Below are 21,349 nucleotides of genomic sequence, written 5' to 3'. Positions count from 1 at the left end.
GTTGTAATGCTTGGGGCATCATGAGAAATGTGGATCTGGAGTGCAGGTCAGGGGTTGGGTGAGAGGTTCAAATTTGTGAGGTCTTTGGATAGAAGAGCTGTATAAAGCTACAGGAAGAGGCAAAACCGTTGAGGGAGAGGGAGAAGAAATGTAAAAAAGACCCTTGAAGGCTGACCTATTTTAGGAGTTAAGAAGAGGAGACAGGGTGGTCAGTGAAGTATGAGGAGGACTAGGACAGTGCAATATTGTGGGTGCTAAGCAAAGAGAATTTCCAAGGAGAGTGTCTCAACAAGATTTCTGGGCCATTTACTGAACTCCTATTAAATGCCAAGCACTTTACAGTGTTGATGGTGAGATCAAAGCAGAAGAGGAGACCACGGCATGTGGAAGGTAGAAATACATAGCTGATAATTGATGTGGGTCTGGATCACTAACTAAATGTTAGCAATTAACACTGTCTGCTGAGGTTGTCCCATCTGGAAGCCCGAGTTCACTGGGAAACTGTGAGAGTGTGGTGGTGATGTTAAGTTTTTAACTAGGGCTCACTAGCACTTATTCCTCCTTTTCCCAATAGCCTGTAAGATTTATTTGGCCAAAAAATGGCATTGCAGGAGAAAATATAATATAGTTTGATAATTGGTTTTAGTAATTTAAAAATGATACTGCAGAATGAGGCAGTCTCCCCTTTTAATGAGTTTCATAGTTTGAATAGAAAAATGTCTTTAAAGATTTTTTTAAATGGTATAACCAGTACTATTGAGGCTTCATGGTCTTCCCCTCTCCTTTCTCTCTCTCTTTTCTCTCTCTCTCTCTCTGTCTCTTTCTCTCTCTCTCTCTCACACATACACACACACAGACGATGACTTTTTTCAAATAGTATACAAAGGACTCAGTATTATTCAGTGTTTACTCTAACACTCCATTAACTCAATGCTAATTCAAACAACTGCTTTTTTTTTCTAGCCAACAAGATGTTCTGTTTTTCTCTAGTAAAAACAGCAGAGAATCCAAAACCTGTTAAGTCAGCCATCACTTCTGAGGATCACATGAAGTTAAGTTTGAAGAACATTTTCTATGTTTTTTTCTAGAGGAAAAATAACTGAAACTACAATAGGAAAAAAATTATCAGGAGTCAGGAAGAAAACAAGAAAAATGCAGTTCAGTGAAATGTTGTCACTAAAGCCAGAGCACTAAACTCATGAATATGACAGAGCGGGTTGGGAGAATGTGGTGCAAGGGAGATTGTACCTAAAAGGAATCCAGTAATCTGAAGGGTGGCCCCATCCTCTACCAACTTGACACCTTTGTGAATTCAAGTTATGAGATTTGCTCATTATCTGTGGATACATTCTCTACAGCAAAATGTACTTGGAGTGGTGCTGTCCCTGCCACCGGGCCCACATCTATACAACTTCCCATATGGGGACTGCAAAGCTGTTAAAGCTCAGGTTGGAGCTAAGAAACTGTATTTGTAGTAATGGGTCACATTGGATGAACTGAGTCCTTGATCCCATGGTGCAGTTAATATGAACTAGGCCTCCCTATGTTGCAGTTTTGTGTAACTCTCAGAATGCCCTTCTTTATCTGGGTATTTGCATGTTATTCTTTGCAGGCAAGATAACTTTGCTAACACTTTGAAGATTTGTTAGGAAAGAGTTGATGACTTTGTCCAGATTGTAATTCTTTTTCCTTTGAGAGGAGAAGGATTAAATAACAAAGCATTTTGTGTACTGGGTAGGTTATGGTTTGATTAATGTGATTTTACTCACTGCCCAAGTAAGCAGCTGATAGGAGCCATAAACCTGGGGTCAAGCTTATAAATTAGATACGTCCAAGAGAGGCAGGGTGTTACAGTCTTGAGGAACAACTTCCCTCCCTCTTAGTGCACCTGTCACATAATGTGAGTGGCTAGGAAGTGAAGAGCAGGTGAACTAATGATGCTGGGAGACCCAAATCACAAGTGTGAATTAGCCAAGCACCAAAGGTTATGTTGGATTGAGTAGCAAGGGGAGATTGAAACCAAGGTTAATATGCCAGTGATTTAGGCTCGTGTCTGCCCTTAACTGGTGTGTTCATGGGCAATTTACTTAACCTTTCTTGGTCTCCATTGCCTGACTCATCTGTAAAATAGGGTGTTAGGTGAGATCACCAAAGTGGTGATCTCAGGCAGGTTCCATTTGCTAGGTCCCTCGCTCTCCATATGTGTTTGAAATTTACTGATATTTTTGTCTGTGCTACTCCCTGCTTTTGGACTTACTGCCATTATCTTCTCTTTTCCACCAGCACGCCAAAAGATCTTGTGGCATATAGTGGTGAAACTGCTCTTATCCCCCTTACCCAAAACCACTCTGTATCATTTTTGAATTGTTATGATAAGGAAATGTATCATGAGTCCTTTGTAATAGTGGTTTATAACAGGGTTTTTGTTTTCGTTCCACGGATCCTTTCAGAGTCCAAGAAAAAGCTATGGGCCTTCTCATCAGGAGAAAGTGTCTACAGACACATTTCCGTATGGTTGCAGGGAGTTCACGGATTCTGAAGGCCCTCAGGCTAAGAACTCATGCTCAAGAAAAATACCATTACTCTATTTGCAAGTTTGTGTAGTACTGTTGCTCTCTTTGGGAAATGCTAGGAACTAAAGGTAAGGAACCCAGACTGAACCTGATGAATGACTTAGTAACGTGATGTTCAAGTTATGAATGAGTCCCAGACACGCAAGCCTCCTTCTTGAGATAGATGCATCACTTCCTGGAGGAAAGCTGTGTCCTGTGACTGGGTGTGTGCATCCTAGATTTACTGTGCACCATTGGCTGAAACAGAAAATATCTGTGAGCTTTCAGTTCTCATGTAAAGTAGGAGCATAATATCTTCTAGTTGCTCTCTTCGTAGTGTGATATGAAGCAATTTGACTGGCATCCTCAGAGTTTCTCTGAGCACTGTCTGACAACACTATCTAAATTTAAAAGTTCTCAGTTTGGGCTAGTAAAGTACTGTTCCTGTCAGAGTTCATCTCATGGAGATCACATTTTCATAAATCACTACTGTGTTATCTTCCTTTTCATCTGTACATGATCTTCCATTTTTCATCCCCTTAGAAGGTGATTCTAGGGAGGACCAATAATTGATGTACTTAATCTACTGGACACTCACATCCTTTCATTAGTTTGTCTGTCCTGGGGATAAAGCATTCCCCTAATAGAATTGTCACAACTAGGACCCCTAATCCAGTTTATTCCTTCTTGGTTTGGAGTGTAGAGTTGCTGCATTAATGGTGGAAATAAACAAGTTCTGGTGGGCAGGATCATTTTTTAGTTGTTTGGAAATATAAAAGTAGATGAAAATGGAAACAGAATCTGATTCTATTTTGAACATAACAGCTATTCCTTTATCTCATTTTTAAAAAGAGCAAAAAGCATCAAACTTAAGTTTCTATTAGTATCTTTGCTCCACTGCCCCTTCTCCCACTTCCCATGAGCTCTGTTCAGTATTAAGCCTTGTAACCACTCTTGTTCTGGCATGATTTATAAAAGCAGGCTATTCCTTTTATGGAAATCACTGATATTTTATTATGTTCTGGCCAAAACTTAAATGAACATAAATAACCCAAAATTTCAGAAAAAAATATAATTATCCATTTCAAAACTTTTTATAAGCTTTCTAGTAAATATATAAAAGTAGATAAAGTAGTGTAATAAGCCTATATATACCACCATCCAGCTTCAACAGTGGTCAATATATGACCAATATTGTTTCATCTGTACCCCAGCCCCTTCCCCTTTGTCCGGGAGTTATGTTGAAGCAAATTCTAGACATATCATTTCACTTGTAAATATTTCATTATATATCTCTTAAAGATATAAGAACTCTTTGTACACTTAATCTCAGTACCAACACCTGACAAAATGAAGTTCCTTGATATCAAATATCTAATTAGTATTCACAGTTCCTCCGTTGTCTTATAATTTGTTTCTGTAATTTGTAAGTTTGAGTTGGCATTCAAATAAGGTCAGTATATTGGGGTTGGTTGATATTGTTTATGTTTTTTGACCTACAGGTCTCTCTACTTTCCCCTTTCTTTGCCATTTTTGTCACTGTTGCATTGTTATTGAAGAAAGTGGATCATGTGTGTTACATTCTTTCCTATGATCTGGTTTTTGCTGATAATCTGTTATTTTTAAGGAAATAAGAGTAACAGGTATGTAATTATTTCAAACCTGTTTTTAAGTGTATGCAAATGTTTTACTTCATGCTGAAAACTAGCTGTGGAAGTTAACACTTAATTAGGCAGGAAAATTCAGGCATCAGGTGACTTCTTTACATTTTTATTCCTGTTTTTTCTTTTTGGAAGATATCTTGGCAGATTATAGGGAGAGGTGTCACTTACCCACTGCTGAAATGCACTGGGCTGGAACACGCCAGCCATTCTTCATCAACAACACCAAACAGTTATTTTGGGCAAAGAATTAGAAGAGCGGTTGTTTTGTTGTTGTTGAATATACAGTGGGAAGCTGGGGTGATTGAATGTGTGCCTCAAGTCCTTTGGCCCCAACACCCCTCTCTCCTTATTTGCTATGATAAGCATTCTCTTGAGGGCTATTCATTACAGTGGAAATATGATCACAGAATCATCTGGGTTGGAAAAGACTTCCTGAGGTCACCTGGCCCCATCTGGCAACGTTAATATGGGATTCCAGCATCAACTTTCCCAGAACAAGGCTGTCTGTTAACAACTCACATAGCTCACATAAACCCCTGGTGCAGTCTTAACCTGTTTTCTCTTTTGTCCTTCAGTGAAATAGATGATTAAATTGCATGTCTTTCTGCTGTAGGAGTGTTACACAACTAGGACCCCAATCCAGATAACACACACATGTGGCTGTGTAGATCTTTAAGATTAATCTTGATTTTTCCCTGCCATCCTCTATAGCACATATACCCTGAGACTCTATTCAACTATCTGTATGTAGTAATGATTTTCATGAAAAATGTTTAAATGCGTAAATATGATGCAATTACTGCAGACTACACCTTTAAGCTACAGTATGTATGATGGTTAATTTTATGTGTCAATTTGGCTGGGCCACAGAATGCCAAGATTTGTGGTCAAACATTATTCTGGGTGTTTTGTGAGTATGTTTTTTAGATGAGGATAACATATAAATCAGTGGACTTCGAGTACATTGCCCACCATAATGTGGGTGGGCCTCATCCAATCAGCTGAAACCTGAATAGAACAAACAGACTGATCTTCAGAGGAATCTTCTGCATCTGCTCTCTTGGGTCTCCAGCCTGTCAGCTGACCCTACAGATTTTGGACTTGCCAGACCCCATAATGGCATGAGCCAGTTCTTTATGATAAATCAATCTCTCTCTCTCTCTCTCTCTATACACACACACACACACACACACACACACACACACACATCCTATTGGTTCTCTTAGGAGGACCCTGATTAATCAGTGTGCAAAAACAAAAAGAAAAGACAAGTATATGTCCTCAATTTATCTGGCTATTTTTTGAAGATGTGTTTTATATTAAAGAGATGCAAAGATCACTGGAGACACCATCCGCAAAATTGAGAGTCTGGCCACAACTCTTCTAGTAAAACCTGACTTTCAGTCACTTTCCCTTTCTAGCCTTAGTTTCATCTCTGTAAAAGAAGGTTAAACGAAGGGATTTCCAAGGTCTGTGATTTCCTGAAATGCAAACATGGAACATTTGAGCCAGCTGCTGAGAAAGTGTCTAGAGATAATAATTCTGAGGGCTGCCCAAAGTTTCTCTTACTAAACAAAACAACTGAGGGTGTAAAACAGTAGTGGTGGTGGAGCACAGGGAATAAAAAACCATCAACAGAAGGATTTCCTGTATATAAGGAAAATATACAGGAAAATGGATCACCCTGATTTATGTCGCGGAAGATTCTAATCAGTTAAATGTAAAATATGGATAGTAAATGCCAACGGGAAAACCTGTAGCTTTTGTGACTTCTCAGCTGAGGGCAGATAGTCTAACTTTGAGGGCACTTAGGATCTGTGTCTGCGTTGCACTAATTCTTATTTCGTGCAGGAGGAATAGGGTGGTGGTGGAGGATTGGCATTTGTGATAAGCTGAGGCTGTCAAGCCAAACTGAGGGGCCCTAGCCCAACCGATGGACAGGAAATGTCTGACCCCAAGGGCATTTGTGCTATTCCTGATCACAGAGATTGGAAGGAGCCTCAAACTGGTGCTGACCCATGGGGATGTAGGTTGGTTTCTCTGTTGCCTTGGTTTTGAGCCTTTTTGTTTTTCCACCTTGGGCTTCCCTCTCCAGGTAAAAAAAGCAGTAACCACAAGGCAGAAACCATATTATTTTAGCTCCTCTTGTCTGGAGAGCGGGCAACACTTAGGTGCAGTAATCTTTTGGCTGTCCCTGTCTGGAATTAATGTTCACCCTCACGCAGCAGTCTGCCACTTGGGTGGCTGGCATTTTGGGTTGGGCAGTCTGGGTTTGTGCCTGGCCAAGCCAGCTGAGGGGAAGTTCGCCTGCCACGTTTGGTTGTGGACACATTCTGTGTAAGGTGCTTACCCCTTGCTCAGTAGAGGCATCCCCTGCAAATATGGCGAGGTGGCTTTCTTTGCCCTTTGGGTTCCTTTTGACCATAAACTTAGCAGTGAGGAGGCAGGACCTTGATGGTCATATCCCCCGAGAGGCTAGCTGACTTTTTACCCAGTTGGTGCTGAAGATGGACAAATGATTAACCCCCTGGAATCTCTGGTTAGACCCCAGTTGTGGTCATGAGTTCAGCCTTTTGAACCGCAGGCTGAAATTGTTTTTCCAGCGCTCTACCCAATCGGGTGTCCCCGCCTGGACTCTGCTATGGAAGCGCTCCCTTGGGAAATAGTGGTGGGCAGGGGGGCGTGGGAAGAGGAGGGAGGAAGCCTCCAGCTGCTGCTGGCCGGCCCTGCGTTCCTCTGAGGAGGTAGGGAAGGGACCCTCGAGATGAGTGGGAGACAGGAAAGGAGCTGCAGTCTGGAGGCCCGAGTGGGAGCCGCTCCTGGCCCGCCGCCCGCCGGGCCGCTTCCTTCCCCTGACATGACAGCCCTGCCGGCCTGGCTCCCCGCCACCTGGCAGCGGCCGCCGCGGCACATGACTCCTCCGCCCTCTGCCCTGGGGGCTGGCGGGGCCCAGGCGGGGCCCAAGCGGGGCCCAAGCGGGGGCTGGGAGTGATCTGCTCTGGAACTGGCCGTCCCTGCTGGTCGGGGCTGCCAGGTGCGGCCCGCGCTGCTTCGCTGGGAACTGGCCTTCCTCTTCCAGTCCTAACGCGCTTGGCCATTTGTCCCTTCTAGGAGCCAGCGGAGGGGAACACCTGCTGTCTCTACCTGAGAGAGACGCCGCCTGGGGTTCACCTTCCCTGGCCTCAGTGTTCTTTACACGTCAAACGGGTCACCCTGATTTACCTCTCAGTTACTGGAGTCAAAGGAGATGGACCCGCTGCAGTGCATAGGAAGGTGCTTAGGTCCGCTCCAAGGAGACACCGCCTCCGCGGTGCCATCCACGCCAGGGGCCGCGTGACAGCTTGGGGTCCGCGCAGAAGGCTGCCTCAGCGAGGCGGCAGCTGCGCCCCTGCTTTATCTTTTAGAGGCTGGGAGACTTGGTGCTATTTCTGGCCTTGGTTTCTATGTAAAATCCAGGTTGGTGGGGGAGTTGTGTACACTCCTCTGCCCTAACCTCTTCATAGGAAGTTAGGTTAAATCCACAAAGTGGTGGGGACCTTGTTCAATAGGGATAGATTTCACAGGTAGCCCCAAAGTGGGGGATTTGGCGAATGTGCCAATAAACTTGGTTTAAATTCTAATTCTGGCTCTGCTACTGGCTTCAGTTACCCTCCCCGATCTTCCCACCTCATTCCCTCCCTTCCTCTTTTTTTTTTGAGATGGGGTCTTGCCCTGTTTCTCAGGCTGGAGTGCGGGGGAAGGTGGGGTCAGTCTTGGCTCACTGCAGCCTGGAACTCCTGGGCTCCAGTGATCCTCCTGCCTCAGCCTCCCAAGTAGCTGGGACTAAAGACATGTGCCACCACACCCAGCTATTTTGTAAAAAGTTTTTGTAGAGAAGGGATCTTGCTCTGTTGCCCAGGCTGGAGTCTTTTTCTCTTTTTAGAGACACTTTATCACATTCACCTCTGCTCTGTAGCAGTGTCTTCAAAGTGATCTTTCTTTCAAGTGGGGTTGAGTTTGTCTAGAAGGCTCTTGAGCATTTTCCCAGTGATAGGGTGATAGGCCTTACTTTTTTGAAATTGGGGTAGGGGAAAGAGACATGAAAATATCACAAGTTCTAGAAACCAGGATTTGAGCAGTCTTGTTGAAGTTGCCCAATCCCACCTTGAAGTGATCTGCATCCAAGAAAAAGGTTTTGTGATGGTGGTGGTGGAATGTTTGGGGATTAAGAGTTTGCTGTGTGGATTAACAAGCTGGAGCTGGAAATGTCTAATGAAACTGACAATGATGCCTTCCTGGATCAACTCACCTGTGTGTCACATGACAAGCTTGAAGAGGACTCAGGAACATTCAAACCCAACCTTCTCATGGAACGGAAGCCCGAAGGGGGCAAATGCTTAAAGTCACACAGCACAATGGTTGTGTTGGCCAAAAACCAGAGTTGTCTCCCTCAGTGATTACAACCAGATGTAGAATTAGTTTTGTATGCCCACCACTCTATTGCTTTTCCCCCTTAAACTTCTATTCCTTCTTATTGGGGGAAGGAGAGCTCCCTTACAGATGGTGTACGTTAGGGTTTACTGAACCAGGCACCCACACCCTATTTAGCTTTAGACCTATACTCTGTTTACAGGATGGGCAATCAGCAGCTGAAAACTAATTGAATTTGGAATTAAACCTTTCTCCCTCTACCTAGCTCCCTTCAGCAACTAGTCACTCCCTGGTTCTTGTATCCACATGGTGAGTTGTTCATTAATAGAACCTTTAGCAGCAAGGCTAGGGGAAGCTGTTTGTACTTGCCAAAGGCCATTCTCCATGAACGTAGCTGGGAATAGGTGACCCCCAATTTAGAATGGGGGTGTGTATAATTTTCTTAAGAAGTTGGCTGAAGTTTCATCATAGTAATAACTACCATTTATTGTGTCTCTAACATGCCAGCAGCTTTTACAAACATTAATTTTTGTGGCTCGAGAAACAACCCTGCAAGGTAGGAGGCAGCATCCTTGTTCTTATGGATGCAGAATCTGAGATTCAGCAAGGCTAAGAAACTTGTACAAGGTAAAGTGGCTGGCAAAGAGCAGAGGATTCAAACCCAGGTCAGTCTGGCCACAAAGTGATCACACTGCCCTGCTGCCCACTGGATATCCAGCTCCAGCCTTGCCTAAGAAAACATGTTGCTAGTTTTTGAGAATGAATGGGAAAGGAGCTGGAACAAAATATGCCTGAATATCTGACACTTTATACCATGGTGTCTGGTGTTTTTGAATATTAAGTTTTCTAGATTGAGGTTATCACAACTCTTGCCCTTGTCTTCCTTTTTATTACTTCTAGAGTAATTGCAGGTTTAACATCTTCTATCATGTTAAAAACAAAGTTATTTTTCTGATTAAAAAATACCTGTTTATGTAGAAAATACAGATGTACAAAGAGGACAAGTCTCAAACTATATACCAGCTTCTGGTTAAGAATGTGTGTACGGGAGCTAGACTTGCAAGGGTATGTATCCCTGCTCTGCAATTTATGATTTGTATGACTTTGGACTAGTCACTTCTGTGCCCGTTTCCTATCTGTGAAGTTGGAAATATCCTACTTTATTAGGTTAACATCAAATGAGTTAAGAGCTGCAAAGCCCCCAAAGTGACTGAGAAGTTTAGTATTTTAATAAACTTCTGGTCTTCCTCTCTGATCTGTGTATACATGTGTAAATATACATGTTAGTATGCATATAAGCCAAAGTGAAATATTTTTCAAACCAGCTGCTTTTCATATAATTACATCGTGATCATCTTTCCTAACTTCTAAATAACCTTCTCCATCACCTGACAATTGCCTAAAACCCCATGATGTGCTGGCGTGAATGGAACTGAATCCGTGTTACTGGGCATGCAGATTTCCAGTTTTGCACTAACATAATGCATTTTAAAACAAATTTGAGTAGTTGTTGTGCCATGAATGGTATCTGGGTGACAGGAACTTCAAGCTCTTTTCAGAGCACACCTAATCCTCCCTCCCCTAGTCTAAATGAAAATAAGGATCAGGAACTACTCCCTTCGGAGCTCAGAACCTGCCTTAATTCTGAGGCAGCACTGTGAACTTTTCATACGTCAGCCCTAAGTGGGGAACTCACTCTGGTTCTCCCCTCTCCCTGCCTTCAAATCTAGAAAAACCATGTTTCCACGTTTAATATCTGATGTCTCGGTTCCCAATAAATCACAAATCAGAAAGTTCTGTTGTTCCATTATTGCTATGTCTGAGGTGCCCCATAAGAAGCCTGTCCATAAAAGGGCTTAGAGGGGAAGCCCTGCTCCCTGTTTCCCAGATCGGACTCCTAAATCCTGTCCTTCAGGATGGAGTGCTGCAATCCCTTTTATGCCATGCTGGGCACTGTACCTCTGCTATTTTAGTTTTATGAGATTCTGATGACATGCTTATTTGACTTTATTGACACAGAACCCTCCTGCTGGTCTCAAGATTGGTAGAAACCATTGATTAATCCCCTCTTAACTCCCCCCGCCCCCCGCCCCGCCAACGCCTGCACTGTTTTCCACTACTAGCAAATCAATAGGTCATGTTTAATGACACTACTCTTGCCTAGCCACTTTCAGGTGTATTATATATGCAGACTCAAGGGATGTATTTGTCCATTGCGTCTGAGCTCCAAAGAGGCAAGAGTGATGGGCAGAAGTGATTTGGGGTCAGTAGTCATGGAGTATACCTCTTAAAAGGTTTACAGCTTTAATGAGATTTTTCTCCTACTGTCTTAGACAAGAAATCTCCAAATGTTGGAAACTTGGTGCTTTAAACAGTATACGTTCTAAAGGAATTCAACCGCATTTCAGGACCTGTTGACTGACCAACCTCAGACACAGCCATATCCGAAGACATTAAAGGAGAGGGCTTGATGTTCCAATTGAGGGAGCGCATCATCGTCTCTCAGAAAGAGTCTAATATGGTGATGAGTCTGCCAAAATTACAGAGGGGCTAGCGTGTCTTTGGGGTGTGCTAGAATGGCATCAGGACTTAAGAGGAAAAATGTGTGTATTACACGCTTGTAAAACTCAAAGCATCAGTTACTCTCTGCAGTATTTTCCAAAGTGCTTTTTCATTAGTTTCCTTCTAACACCCTCCCTGTGAGAAAGGTTAAGTAGCCTTACCCTTCTTCCACTCATGAGGACACTGGAACAGTAAGAGGTTAATTGACTTGCTTTGGGCTCTCTAGTGAGGCTGACCCAGCTGGAATTTCCAACTTGCGCTGCCTGGAACTCCAGCTTACCATTCCAAAGGCTCTGTAGAACCAGGGCCACCTCAGAGAAGGCCTCCACAGAGGCAGGAAGAGCTCCCAGCCAAGCAAGAGGCATCTTGCTCAGCCATGTTCTTGCTGTTTGGGGACTGCTGAGGCAGAGAGCTAGTCTCTTCAAAGTTACAGTCCAAGATCCTCGACCTAGAAACTGTTTGGCTGCCTGGAGCTAAGCTGTAGGAGTGATGGATGGCAGAAATAAATTATTTTTGGCTCAACTGCTCAGTCTTGGCAGGGGGCCCTTTAAATTTGAAATGTTATCCTGACGTCTACAAAAGGTTTAGGAATCTGATGTCATTTTCTCCCTATGATTCACATGTTGGCCTTTTCTGTAGAGGGGTTACCAATTATCTCTGGTGTATGTTCCTGTTAAGGGTTCTCTACAATTCGGATACTGTAAAATATGTAATTAGGATGATAGAGATGGCTTCTAATATAGAGGGTCCCCTGTACCTCTTTTTCTTGGCCCCACCAGGCCTACTTGAATCATCTTGGCTCATTCCTCCCTGCAAAGTAGATCCTCACTACAAAAGCCAGGTTGGTGGTGCTGTTGGTGACATGGTCTTAGACAAGAAGTTACTATACTTGATGCTTCTATTATTCTTGTGTCTTGATGTACTTTTCCTCTGGCTCCTTAAATTAGCCAAAATACTTGCACGATAACCAAAATACTTGCAAGGTTGCTGTGGGCTGGAGGCGAGCAAGCTTAATAAGAGTATGAAAAGCATGGAACTTTGAGGCAGCCCAATTGCTTAATCCCCACTCTACTGCTTATAAGTTTATGTAGCCTTGGGCTAGTGGCCTCTTCTTTTTGAGTTTCAAGTTTTCTCAGCTGTAAAAATGGGAACATCTAGTTCACTGTTAAACTATAAAACCACACTAATAGACATCCATATCATAGCCAGAAGATCAAGATTTGGTCCAGTGAGAGTTGGCATCCAACCTCATAGTGAGGTTGTCACTGTTCTTCTGCCACCCAGTCCACCCTCCTTTGCACTCACTTGTTTACTTTAAAATGTGGAGTGAAGTGGAGGTTTGCCATCTGGGGCTTGGAACTCCATACATTTTATTAGAATTGGAAATTAAGGCTGGGCGTGGTGAGGGGATGAGACCGGACTGACGTGACCTTTCTTTGTGTTTTTCTGGAGCAGGGATTCCTGGTCACCTCCCTTGCTCTTTTCTTCCTGGATGAAACAAGAAGATAATCAGGGTGTCTGTGCACACCAGGACTCAGAAGACAAAGGGATGGGTTCTGATTTTGAGGACTCTGAGGACAGGGAAGGGGACCCAGAAGAAAGAGAAATGGGCTCTAATCCACATGACACAAACAAGAGAGAAGGCCATCCGGAGCCGGAGATGGGCTCCAACCCACAGGACTCAAGGCACAGGGAAGCAGTGCCCGACATCTGCACAGGTGAGGAGAAAGCTGGGATTTCTATGCAAGTTGCCAAAGTTACACTTACTTCTAGCTCCTCTAGAATCATAACTAGCGACAGCATTCTCTGTAAGGGAGTTCCATAGAGGGGACCATTAAGCAGGATTCTGTACTGACTTGCCTCTCTTGTGTTAGCCTGAAGACCATCCTTTTTTTCAGCCCAGTCTGAGGTGAGCTGTGAAGAGGCTCACTCACTGGCGCAGTACTTTTTACAGTGTAGAGAATGCTGCTATAAATTAACCCCTGGAACAACACTACAGTAGAATTACCCAGCTAGTAATAGAATCTACCTCACAGTGTTATTGGGAGAGTTAAATGAGTTGCTGCATATAGAGTTACTAAGCACAGTACTGTGCAAATAGGAGGTATCCAGATGTTTACAGTTACGTCCTCATCTCCCTTTGCAGATAAGTCATCTCACTGGTAAGTGACCTGCCTAGGTTCATGTGGCTAATTCCCAAAGTGCCCATGGCCTCTGCTAAATGCCTTACTCTTACTGACCTGAAAGAGTGAATGCTGGGCCTCCACCCACCTCCTTGTTTCTGTCTTTGGGCATTCATTACTTTATCCTGCTCAGTGCATGCTCTGGGGACAGAAATGAGCTAAAATACTTTATGGCCAGGACTGAGAGGTTACATTCCTTCCCCTGTGACACAGTCCCAGACTCCCTGCTGCCCTCCTCCGCAGTGCACAGAAGCATGTGCAGGAGGGCACATGTGAGGCCTTTCACATCTCAGCAACTTCCCTCTGCTTGGGGATACGCAGCCAGAGACCAACAGGTGTGTGTCCTGGATCAGCCTCTAACCTGGGCTCACCAGCTCTAGGCTCTGTAATCTCTTTCTCTATTCCCCACTACTATCCCCCTCCCCCCACCCATAGCAAAGTCCTGAAGGTGAGTTCAGTTTTTTGTTCCATCATAAGCTGTTTCAGACTGACCAAATGTACTTTAAAAATTAGTCCTGAGGGCTGGGCGCAGTGGCTCATGCCTGTAATCCCAGCTCTTTGGGAGCCGAGGTGGGCAGAAAACGAGGTCAGGAGATCGAGACCAGCCCGACCAACATGGTGAAACCCCATGTCTACTAAAAATACAAGTTAGCTGGGCGTGGTGGCATGAGCCTGTAATCCCAGCTACTCAGGAGGCTGAGACAGGAGAATCGCTTGAACCCAGGAGGCGGAGGTTGCAGTGAGCCAAGATTGCGCCACTGCACTCCAGCCTGGACGACAGAGCAAGACTCTGTCTCAAAAATAAAAAGAGAAAAAGAAAAAATTAGTCCAGGGCCTGGTTAGGCCAAGTGGTCTTTCTCAGGTTGGCAGACTGTTCTTGTCTTTTGAGACTAGAATCTTAAAAGGCATTGGTAGCTCTTGGAGTGAGTAAACCTTTTCTCCTGAGATCTTACGTAGTGTCCCACCTGGCACAGACTTGAATATCCTGAACACAGGCAGTCAGGCCTTCAGATGGCTCTGCTAGGCAGTGCCTCGGGTCCAGCTAGGGGGGCCTGGGCCCGAGGAGGCTGCCTGAAGAACTGGTGGGCAGAGGGGGCAATGAGTGCACTCTCCTTTAGGCCTTTCCCTGGAGGATCCAGTTGAGAGAGGCTAAACTCTCAGGGGGTCTTGGAGGGGCAGGGATCCAGAGTGCCTGAGGGAGGGGATCACAGTTTTATTACTGAGGTTTCCTCTGGGCTTATCTTTTGAATGCCAAGTATAGTAATCCCCCACTGCCACCTTTTTCTGTTGCAGAGGGGCAGCTGAGTGAGGAAGAAGGCGTTTCTGTCCGTGGGGAAGAGGATGACCAATCCGGTGTAGCTGACATGGCGATGTTCCCAGGACTGTCTGAGTCTGACAGCATATCCCGGAGCCTCCGGGAGGACGACGACGAGAGTGCTGGGGAGAACCGGCTGGAGGAGGAAGAGGAGCAGCCGGCCCCTCCCGTACTTCCCTGGAGGCGACATCTCTCCCTGGGGAGTCGGCACCGAGGTGACAAGCCCGCCCACCGCCGCTTCCACCGGCTCCACCACCCCATGGCCGTGGACCTCGGGGAGCTGGATAGCCTGGTGGCCAGCATCATGGACGCGCCCACCATCTGCCCCGACTGCGGGGAGAGCTTCAGTCCTGGCGCCGCCTTCCTGCAGCACCAGCGCATTCACCGCCTGGCTGAGGCCGCTGCCGCCGCCAGCCTGGAGCCCTTCGGCCTGGCGGGCGAGTGCGACGCGATGGTGGGCATGATGGGGGTGGGTGTGGCGGGGGGCTTCGGGGCCGGGCCCCCGCTGGCCCGGCCCCCGCGCGAAAAGCCCTTCCGCTGCGGGGAGTGCGGCAAGGGCTTCAGCCGCAACACCTACCTGACCAACCACCTGCGCCTGCACACGGGCGAGCGGCCCAACCTGTGCGCCGACTGCGGCAAGAGCTTCAGCTGGCGCGCCGACCTGCTCAAGCACCGGCGCCTGCACACGGGCGAGAAGCCCTACCCGTGCCCCGAGTGCGGCGAGGCCTTCAGCCTCAGCTCGCATCTGTTGAGCCACCGGCGCGCGCACGCGGCGGCCAGCGGCGCGGGGGCGGCGGCGCTGCGGCCCTTCGCCTGCGGGGAGTGCGGCAAGGGCTTCGTGCGCCGTTCGCACCTGGCCAACCACCAGCGCATCCACACGGGCGAGAAGCCGCACGGCTGTGGCGAGTGCGGCAAGCGCTTCAGCTGGCGCTCGGACTTGGTGAAGCACCAGCGCGTGCACACGGGCGAGAAGCCCTACATGTGCTCCGAGTGCGGCGAGACCTTCAGCGTCAGCTCGCACCTCTTCACGCACAAGCGCACGCACTCGGGTGAGCGGCCCTACGTGTGCCGCGAGTGCGGGAAGGGCTTCGGGCGTAACTCGCACCTGGTGAACCACCTGCGCGTGCACACCGGCGAGAAGCCCTTCCGCTGTGGCCAGTGCGAGAAGCGCTTCAGCGACTTCTCCACGCTCACGCAGCACCAGCGCACGCACACGGGCGAGAAGCCCTACACGTGCATCGAGTGCGGCAAGAGCTTTATCCAGAGCTCCCACCTGATCCGCCACCGCCGCATCCACACGGGCAACAAGCCGCACAAGTGTGCGGGCTGCGGCAAAGGCTTCCGCTATAAAACGCACCTCGCGCAGCACCAGAAGCTGCACCTGTGTTAGGGGCTGGGTCCGCGGGAGGCTGCCGTCTGGGGAGCCTGTGGGGGGTAGATATCCTGGGACTGACCCAGGGGAAGGAAGTGGGGAAGGGGCGGGAGGGACAATCTGAGAGTGACTGGGGAGCCTTTGGTGTTTGGGGTTTCCTGAAGTGGGAGGAGTGTTGAGTAAGTTGGTCTTTCCCGGTGCTATACTTGCCTCCTCTCCACGGAAGAATTGTTCAGGAGATGCGCTTGGGGTGATGACTTCCTTAAATACACGCTGTAGGGGGTGAAGAGCTTGGAGGACCAGGCACTTTGAGGAAGGGCAGTTCGTGGGCTGGGGTGGGAACAGGATGGCGGGCAATAGACTAGGGTAGGCCGCGATGGCCTGTAGAAGGTTGCGGGGAGAGGGTTTAAATGAGGGTTATGGGGCGAAATAAAACCAAGTATAAGTGATTCTATCTTGGTCCCACCAAGAGTTTGCCCGATCTCCACACATCACCTGTTGTCTCACAAAAAGTAGGGGAACCTTGTCAGTCACATAGGACAGGATATTTAATGTACTTTTCCTTTCTCTGAGCCACAGTTAGCTGCTATTTTGAGGCATCCAAGGGGAAGTGGGCTGAAAAACGCCACACTCATTTCAAGGGGCAATGTCTGGGGTTTAGAAATTCATTTATAACTGGTTCTCTGATGTGGGAAATCCTGATTCTGTCCCGGGTTCTTTGCTACTTCCTTGAAAATACTCTAGCTTCATGCTGGGTCAAGGTGGTTTACCTGGATGACCCCCCTCCCCCGCCCTCGCCCATCCCAGGTGTGTGCCACACCCAGTATTTCTTTCAGGTCTCAACTGTGGTGTTTTAAGTGCAGGGAAAAGGAACAATCACAGCTATGTGTGACTTTCCTTTTCCCACCTCACCTTGATGTAGGTGTTTCAAGTGAACTTTAGACCAACAGTTGCCCAGTGACCTGCTAAAAAGTCAACTAGCTCAGAGTTTTGCTGGCCTTTATGTGAGAAATCCAAGAAAGTGTTCACTTTTTTGGGATGCGAGACTCCTTGGTCTCATTTGCCTTCACTTTGCATTTGTTAGTGACCTCCACTAACCCCCACTTCCATGCATATTGACGAGGGATCTAGTCTAAGTAAGAATGTCTTTTGCCTGCGCGTGGAGGCACAGTAGAAATCTCAAGGCTTTACCCAGAAGAGCCCAGTCAGGGAGAGGTGTAAATGCAAAATTGCCAAATAGCACAAACAATGAATGTTTTCTGGTTGTTATATAGATGCCAAAATAGCACTTTGATATTTGCAAAGTGCTTTATGCTTTTTAATAATTGTTAGCTGTTTCTCACATCATTGTGAGTTAGATCAGTATTATGACCGCTGTCTTAGGGAAGGCCTGGGAACAGGAGTGTGCAGGCTGTCCTGAAGAGAGGCTGAGGACAGTGTGAATAATTGTAGCCTGACCTTTTGCATTCTCCAGCTCAGCTGCTAGGAAGACTTACTTGTCATGATTTATATAATAAAATTAAGGACACTGAAAATTCTTATGCTTGATGAAAAACTTAAGGCTAGCCTAGAAGGGCCAAACATGTCCTTATTGACAAAGCTGGTCTTTGTCGCCTAATTAGGGTATCCTAGCTATGTTCCATTTCTAGTAAGGGGCTGTAGTTAGATGACTCTTGTATAGATTTCAGTTACTTATGCTGAAGATCCCTGTGCTAGGTTAGCCTTTAGAAGTTAGAGTTGTGGAAAGCAGTATTGTTTTCTTCTCTAGTGATTGTTACCCTACACATTTCATGGAAGCATCTTCACAAAATATCAGACACAGTGGAAGGGGGAAAAAAAGCTACGAGATTGTTTTTACACTTTTAGCAAAGTTTCTGTGGATGCTAGTAATTTATACTTGATCAGTTGTATTCTAGTAAAGAACCTCTTTGGGGACTGTAGGAAAGCATGTTTTTGTGGTTATAAAAACACTTAAAAATCCTGATAATTCTGGGCTTGTATAATGCCTGTTGATCTTGCCCTCTTAATCAGTTTATTGTTATTCACAAATGCAAATAGGTTTTCAAACTACAGACAGTTTTGAAAGACATTAATTCTCATTTTCTTCTAGTCAGGAGTAATACAAGCAAACAAGTGTCCGTTTTGAATTCTGATTTGTAATCTGAATACTAAACATATTAGACCCACCTGAAAATAATATAGCCAATTTCTAGGTAATCTTACTGCTTTGTGGGTTTCTTTCCATGTACATCTACCTCTTCCAGCTGTTTTAAGTTTTCTCAAGTCTGTGCCTATGAAATCTCATCCAACTTTTGATTATTCATGGATTGATTATCCGCTTTTTTTTTGCTTTTTTGCTGCCATTGCTATGCCTGGTCTCGTCTGCATCAAATATACTACATATCAGCAACTTTAGAGAATGGGTTCAACAGGGAGTGGAGAGTGAAGCTAATGTAAAATAGTTTAGTGGCAGTGGGAATCTTTGGACTTCATTTACCTCTCTCATTATTTCTATTACCATGGATAAAAAAGTCAGCTGCTACGTTGATATCCCTTCTATGAGCACATTCTTAGCAGAAGAAAACAATCCAACTACCAACACCCGACTCTATTGGTGCATTTAAAATGTGATTCCATTTTTTCTTACAATTCTTCAGGGAACTTACCTGCATTAAGTGAGGTTAAATGCATTCAGGAGGTTGTTTGTTTCTTCTATCTAGTTTTAGAATAATATTTCTTCGGCAAACCCTGCTAACTGCGGTTCACCCTTGAAAACGTTAATCTGAGGACTTTTTCCACCAACTCATTAATGATGGTGGAAGCAAGTGTATTATTTGTTTCCTGGAGAATTTGATGAAGAGCAGTCTTCCTCTGCTGCCCTTTACTAAGCAAAACCTGGAGCAATTTAAATAGGCTAAATGGTTTTGATTAAATCTTGAGCTCCGAGTTGGAAGGAGAAAATGAGAAGTTAACCCCTTGAGCCATGTGGTCTCTTTACAATCAAGAGACTGTACATATGTGAAAAAATACAAATTAAGGACCTGTGTTCATAGACAATCTAAACTGTGTTTCTGAAGTTTGTGCACATTTTTCTTCACTGTAATGTTATTTTACAGCTGTTTGTTAAAATAGTGAATAATTTAATGATCCTAAAAGTAACAGGTTTCGTGTGAGTGTGCTTGTATACGTGAGATTTGCCTTATTTTCAGGTTGTTTTATTTAACGATGGTTCCTTGGACAGCATTCTGGTGTTCAGCAACCAATATGGAATATTTGTCATTAAATCCATATCAGTCTTTTACCATGTCATTCTTCTTTGCCACACATTAAATGTCACTCAGCTCTATCTATGGAAGCTATGTTCTTGTAGAACAAGGGTTGACAAACTACTAAATCTGCCCTGCATATTTTTGTACATAAAGTTGCATTAGAATACAGTCATACCCATACAGGCACATTTGCATATTATCTGTGCTACTTCACCCTGAATTTGCCGTGAGTGGGCCTCTGCCCACATTCCAATTAGAAAAACTGTACCTGGTCAACCTGGAATTCTTGAGGTTTGATTAGTTTAAGCTACAGATTTTTTTAACCTTGGAGAGCTTTTTGGATTGTTTGCCTTTTAAATGAAGAGAGCAATTAATTGGAGTGAGGCCTAAGTTCCTGTAGTTTTATAGAAACTCCCCAGGTGATTTTAATGAGCAAACAGGGTTGAGAACTCTGTAGGACCAATTAGAGACCCCCCATTCTTTCTTGGGAATTACAGTAAGTATAATAATACATAAGGCTCAAATCCTCTCCTCCGCTGGGGGGTATGGAGGCAAAGGGCAGTGCAAGGTGCATCAGGCTTTGTCTGCTCCTGGTAGGCCTCCTGTCACACAACTGCTCCAAATAGTGAAGACAATATCATAAGTAAGAGCCAGGAAAAGTGCTTGTCTTGGCTGTCCATCAGATGACAATGGAATAGGTGTGGAAGGCTGCTGCTGGCCTTCACCGTCTTCACCACTCATAGTCAGCCTTCCTCCGCTCCTCTCAGATCTTTATTCCCCCAACTCAGCTCACAACAAAGCAAAACCCCAGGCATGACTCCTTTTCTCAGCTGCCCTTGGCAATCACATAATTTCCATCCTCTCTGCCCCTGGTGGGAGGGGAGGAGCACACCTGGCCAGCCTCCAGCATGAATTGCCTAGTGCTTGCTCCTCTGTCTCCCTATCACAGCTGCAAGTACCCTGTAGATTGTAGTTTTCTGCTGCTAGACTGGTTTCAAGGTCATCTCTGCTAACCCAAAGCACATTCCAATGGGTTTCAGTTTCTTGCTGCTCCTGTGGGATCCAGGGCACTGTTCACAATGCTGTCTGCATCCAGCTGGCGCCCTGTCTCATTCCAGCAGCTGGGAATGCTCAGCTTTGGAAGCCAATGAGGTGGGTGGCAAGGTGTTCCATATACCATGTTGCCCTGTGTTTTTAAGGAGGTTGAAAAAGGTGTCAGTGTACGTGCAATGTTTAAATTGGCATTCCCACACACGTATTTGAAGGATTTCCAACCTGAGTAAAGAACTGCCAGACGCCAGTTCCTGGAGACCAGGGATTCACTGGAAGCAGTTCCATGCATTCTTTTTATTCACTGAAGACACTCCACTGAGATGCTTTTCTGAAAGCATCAAGGGCTGAGGTAGGGAGTGGTTCTGCCTGGGTGTTCTGATACCATCTGTGTATGACTGGCCTTCCCCAGGCCCCAAGGCTGTGACTCATTAAGAGCAGAGACCCTGAGAAGTTCACCCCTCAGCTGAGTGGGCAAGTGCCAGGCATAGTGCTCAATGCTAGAGAGACAGATATGAGAGAGGTAGAGATGCTTACACATTCCAACACCATTTAAAGGTGAAGGTGAAGGCCTATTTTGTTTTCTGCCTGCCCAACCTGCTTGGGCGAATTATTTTGCCAACTATAAGTCTGACTTTAAGGATTTGGCCCCTGGGGCTGCAAGGGATGGGAGGTGGACCGGGGGGAACTTCATGTCAAGGCTTCACATGTTATGCTAGGGCAAGATGATACATTCAGCAAAGGCTCAGCATTAAGCAGATTCTCTGCCAAGGACTCTGCAACTATAAGTCAGAGTCCCCACCACTGCTGCAAATCAGGCAATGCCCACTTTAGCTGGCTTTGTTGGGTGAGGGAAGGGACAGTGTGTAACCTTGGAAAAGCTAGTTCACTTTGTCAAGGGGCTGGAAAAGGATCTGGCTAGACTTTTCTCTTGTCAAGTATAGCATTAGCGAATGTCTGAAATGAGGGTCA

General features: G+C 45.7%; 1 protein-coding gene across 3 annotated transcripts in view, besides 4 other annotated features; it reads left to right on the top strand.

The window, feature by feature from the left end:
• Nucleotides 1–19,404, top strand: part of ZNF697 (zinc finger protein 697) — a 28,890-nt gene extending 9,486 nt beyond the window's left edge. For 2 of the 3 annotated variants that reach the window (XM_005271315.4, NM_001080470.2), the window contains exons 2-3: nt 12,644–12,906; nt 14,665–19,404. In XM_005271315.4, coding sequence (XP_005271372.1) covers nt 12,681–12,906; nt 14,665–16,076 — 1,638 coding nt within the window. In that variant the 5' untranslated portion in view covers nt 12,644–12,680 and the 3' untranslated portion in view covers nt 16,077–19,404. Of the gene's footprint in view, nt 1–963; nt 11,148–12,643; nt 12,907–14,664 lie in introns of all 3 variants that reach the window. The other variant, XM_047433849.1, reaches the window with a different exon arrangement.
• Nucleotides 2,872–2,981: a silencer, noted in NCBI's record as "silent region_1246". NCBI's record gives its function as "represses an Ori minimal core promoter by ATAC-STARR-seq in GM12878 lymphoblastoid cells {active_cell/tissue: GM12878}" and the evidence as "EXISTENCE:reporter gene assay evidence [ECO:0000049][PMID:35858748]".
• Nucleotides 7,054–7,213: a silencer, noted in NCBI's record as "silent region_1245". NCBI's record gives its function as "represses an Ori minimal core promoter by ATAC-STARR-seq in GM12878 lymphoblastoid cells {active_cell/tissue: GM12878}" and the evidence as "EXISTENCE:reporter gene assay evidence [ECO:0000049][PMID:35858748]".
• Nucleotides 7,304–7,353: a silencer, noted in NCBI's record as "silent region_1244". NCBI's record gives its function as "represses an Ori minimal core promoter by ATAC-STARR-seq in GM12878 lymphoblastoid cells {active_cell/tissue: GM12878}" and the evidence as "EXISTENCE:reporter gene assay evidence [ECO:0000049][PMID:35858748]".
• Nucleotides 21,149–21,349: a silencer, noted in NCBI's record as "peak396 fragment used in MPRA reporter construct". NCBI's record gives its function as "represses an SCP1 promoter by STARR-seq MPRAs in K562 erythroleukemia cells {active_cell/tissue: K562}" and the evidence as "EXISTENCE:reporter gene assay evidence [ECO:0000049][PMID:32103011]".

Source organism: Homo sapiens, chromosome 1 (genome assembly GCF_000001405.40).
Source record: "Homo sapiens chromosome 1, GRCh38.p14 Primary Assembly".
Lineage (NCBI taxonomy): Eukaryota > Metazoa > Chordata > Mammalia > Primates > Hominidae > Homo > Homo sapiens.
Note: the sequence above shows the minus strand (reverse complement) of the source record. Positions and strands in the feature narration are given on the sequence as shown.